General features: G+C 40.3%; 1 annotated feature.

Moving 5' to 3' along the window:
* Window positions 1,882-2,082: a silencer, noted in NCBI's record as "peak7183 fragment used in MPRA reporter construct". NCBI's record gives its function as "represses an SCP1 promoter by STARR-seq MPRAs in K562 erythroleukemia cells {active_cell/tissue: K562}" and the evidence as "EXISTENCE:reporter gene assay evidence [ECO:0000049][PMID:32103011]".

Here is a 4,366-nt window from a genome sequence, read left to right on the forward strand (position 1 = left end):
GGATGCCAAAGCTTTACACTCAATAGAGAAAGGGAAATAATCCTCCCAATGTATTTATATTCACTGGAATACTCCTAGGGAGAAAGAATTTCAGTGGCTAATTCCAAAAAGGAGAACTGAAGAGTAAAGGCTTTGTAATGGGATGAGAGAAATTGGAGATGCAGTAAACAGCAGATCAACTAACAGGGAAGGGGCCTGGACATGTTTGGGATCGTGTCTATGAGAAATCATATTTATTACTCATTACAATCTTAGGAGAATGTTGTCCAGAAGCTGAGGATGAGAGATAAGCAGCAAGCCAGTGCATTATCAGGGTGGGCAAAGGCTTTACCAATCAACTCCCAAAGCTTGCTTCTTCTTTGTCAAACAGTTCAAAACGAACACTCCTGAGCAGATAAATACTTTTCTTCATCATGTGAGAAAGGAAGGGTAGATCCTAGGAACTGTTTAGGTTAAATAAGTGTTGGAAAAGCAGAACTGTATAGAGGATAGGGCTGGTCTCTTCGGTGCCTGCCGTGGAAACAGAGTTTAACAACCAAGTGACTAAGAAAAGAACCAACTTCACAGACTCCAAACTTCCCTCCCTGAGAGGCGAAACCCCCACGTGGCCTGCATATGTATAATGCAATGCTCTAATGAGGCAAAATTCCAGTGATAATAAACATGGGTTGGGCACAGTGGCTCATGCCTGTAATCCCAGCACTTTGGGAAGCCAAGCCAGGAGGATCACTTGAGCCCAGGAGTTTGAGACCAGCCTAAGCAGCTTGGCAAGACACTCATCTCTACAAAAAATAAAAAATTAGCCAGGCATGGTGGTGTGAGCCTATAGTCCCAGCTACATGGGAGGCTGGGATGGGAGGATCACTTGAGCCCAGGAGACGGAGGCTGCAGTAAGCCATGAGCCAGGATCATTCCACTGTACTCCAGCATGGCCAACAGAGTGAGACTCTGTTTCAAAATTAAAATTAAAATTAAAACATGAATGAAGAGAGGGAAACACCCTGGTTGCAAGAAGCTAGACAATCGAGAATTTCAAAGTGATATTTTATTGTACTTGGCATAGTCTCACTGCCCACTGCAAAAAGTGGATTGTAATAAATACTTATTTTATTAAGCTAACTTTCTCTTGCTCTAAGCATTTGACCTTGTTAGGCTCTAGGTCTCTCATCTGTAAAATGTACCTATAATTGCCATCATGCCTTGCTTCACAGGATTGTGTTAAGTGAGATAATTCACCAGAGTTTTCTTTGTAAACCCTCAGGCACCATGCAAACATATTCACCTTCTCTAAAAGCAACAACCCAGCAATATTAAGATGTTAATTATTTTGCATTGGTTGTAATTAAGAGGAAGGTCAAAATGGTGACTTAATAAAAGTGCCAAGAACACAAGAGATAGAAAAGGAAAACTGCTTTTTATGAGAAATAGCATTAACCTATGGCAATCTCATTTTATTGTGTGCTTTCCATGCTCTATTCCAAGCTTGGGACAATCAGTTTTCTGAGGAAGCAGATGGATGTTGGTGGATATGTGACCTGCCCACAACAACTACACAGTTTTATGGTGCTTTAAAGCATCCCAAAGATCAAAACCAAAAACAAAGTTTCAGAGCTTGTCAAAACTAGTCTAATTAAAGCAGCAAATGTGCTAACTAGCAAATGCGCCTCTGCAGTGAGATAACTCAGGCACTGTCAGCTGCAAAGCATGCTGGAGTCTTGCTGACTTGGGTTGGTGGGAAGAAGAATAAAGCTAAAAATGAAGGATGAGGGATGTGGGATGAAGGGCTTCAGATTCTAAGGGAAGTGGGTTCCAGTGGCCCAAAACAAACCATTCAGGGGTATAGTGTACTAAGTCTTAGTTGGGCCTGGCTGTAGTGCTCCAGAAACTCCAAGCTTGTGGGGGGAGGATATAAGAGCCAATGGAGAGTTCATTTGAAAAGAGGGCCCTAGCCAGTGGTTGGTAGCATTGGTGTCAGTACAGGAGCTTGGTCAAGAGCTGTCCAAGGTGCTGAGAATACAAACATGTATCAAACTCAGTCTTAGTAACCAAGAAACTAACAGGATAGTGGGGAAGACAAAAACATAAGCAGGGTGTTTTGACACAATAATAACAACAGATACCATTTATTGATTCTTTATGCAGTGCCAGGCTGTGTGCTAGGCATTGTTTCAAACATAAATAGACCTTTACACAATCCTTCACATACTGGCCCTACCAACATCTCTAACCTCTTCTAAGTAACATTTATGAAACAATCCCACATTCTCAGGCACACTCCTGAGAATATTATAAAATCTAGCTCAGGAACCATATGAGCACAAGGGTGGTCCCCAGAACTTGTTATAAAACTTGTCCAACCCTCCTGGAAAAAGATTATTGGAGTACTTACTCAAATTGATCTAATAATAGTGCTTTTTTTAAAAAGAAATTGGATTGGAATCCATTATTCTTGCCTCATCCTGTCTCTTAAAGAGAGACAATGTAAGCTAGGGAGTCATTTGTAGTCCTGACGACTGAGAAGCAGGTAAATCAGCCTGCAGTGAGAATTATCCAATAGACACAGAGAAAGAAACAAGAGATAGAAAATGGAAAACCTTTCCGATCTCTTATAGTTCTACAAACACTAATTTGGGCTCCTACCAGAGGTCCAGCTGTATTCCTCCTTTGGAACCCATGACATGGCCATGAAACTTGATGACAAATGTCCCCATGTGGTTAAGTTGCTTAGGTAAGCCTCTTTTCTTGCAACAAAGAGTCATGACTCTGCATCACCCAAGGACACCTAGACTGTAATCCAGGATTCAAAGCATAGTTACTACCATACATTTTAACTTCTTCCACTTCCTCTTCTGATAATTTCCCTGCACACCCTTATTCTATGCTCCAGCCATACCAAACAACTGGCAATTATGTAAACCTTCCCTACATTCTATTATCTACCTTCCACTGCAAATGTTGCTCTCTCTGCCTACATAAAGTTTCCTTCCTTTCTTGCACTGGTGCACTCATATTTAACATGCAGGACTCAGTCAAAAGCATTTCTAAGGCTCAAATGTGATGTTTTGTCTCCCAGTCACATCCCCATGTCAGTACTCCTGGCTTTTCCAGTATTCCAGGCTGCTGCCAGGTTCAGTGTCTTCTCTGCACACAGCATTAACCAGTCTGTCTTCCCCAACACATGCAGCAGCAAGGACCATGCCTTTTCTCTCTTTGTCAAGACTGTCTGGCATAGCACAGATATACAAGCATTTAGAAACACAAGCAGTATTCATTGTGGGGATGAACAATTAAAATTAACATTTTTTGTTTTACACACTTCTTCCAGTACAATGAAAGATGGTTGAAACTTGGTTCAGGTAAGAAAAAAATACTGACTGAGTTTCTTTAGATAAATCTCATGCCATCATGGGATAATAGGATTCAAAAGAACTACAGAGGCTAGCTACATGGTCTTTATTGCTGAATAAATTACCCCCTAACTGGTCTGCCTGAATCTTCTTTTGTCCCATCACCATTCACTCTCCACACAGGAGCCAGAATGATCTTGCTGGGAAATGCAAATCAGACTGTAACCCTACTTAGTTTAAAACCCTTCAGTAACTTTCTATTGACTCCAGAATGAAGTGCAAACATTTTGCCATAGTCTATAAGACCCTACACAGTCTAGCCCAAGTGTACCCCTCTTATGCCATTTCTTCTCCCTCAGTTTATTTCTAGAACTATTACTAATCTTTCATTCCAACTTGCCAAGTTTGCTTCTTCTTTAGAGACATTGCATTGTTTTTTTCTCTCAACTGGAACAATCAGCTTCTACATTTTCAGATGGCTAAATTTTAATTCAAATAATACCTCTCTTAGAGTCCTCCCTCTTCCTCAGTCTAAAGTAGCTTCCTCCCTCCCCACACCACTTCCTACATCACTACTCTCTTCTATTATTTGCACACCTATCACATCTTTATCATATTTGTTGGTTTGTACCTGTACTTACTCTCTTTTCTAGAATATAAACTCTTTGATGGCAGAGACCATGACTATTTTGTTCATTGGTCTATCCCAGTACCTAGAATACTTTCTGACAAATACTGTATGTTCTCAATAAACAAATATAAATGGAATCACTGGATGAGTTCAAGTGCTGGCTTTTATTATTTGGATGACCTTTGGAAAAATCACACGTTTTCTCTGAGTTTTTGTTTCCTCATCTATTATTTAAAAAATTAAGAACCCTAATAAAAAATACCTTACCTAACTTCAGAGTGGCATGGTTCCATGATGGTGAGCCATTAGTGGATATTAGAATAAAGGGAACTTGCCCTTGAGTAACTTTTTAAATGACATATCCTTAATGCAAATACTAAAGTTGTAC

Source organism: Homo sapiens, chromosome 8 (genome assembly GCF_000001405.40).
Source record: "Homo sapiens chromosome 8, GRCh38.p14 Primary Assembly".
Lineage (NCBI taxonomy): Eukaryota > Metazoa > Chordata > Mammalia > Primates > Hominidae > Homo > Homo sapiens.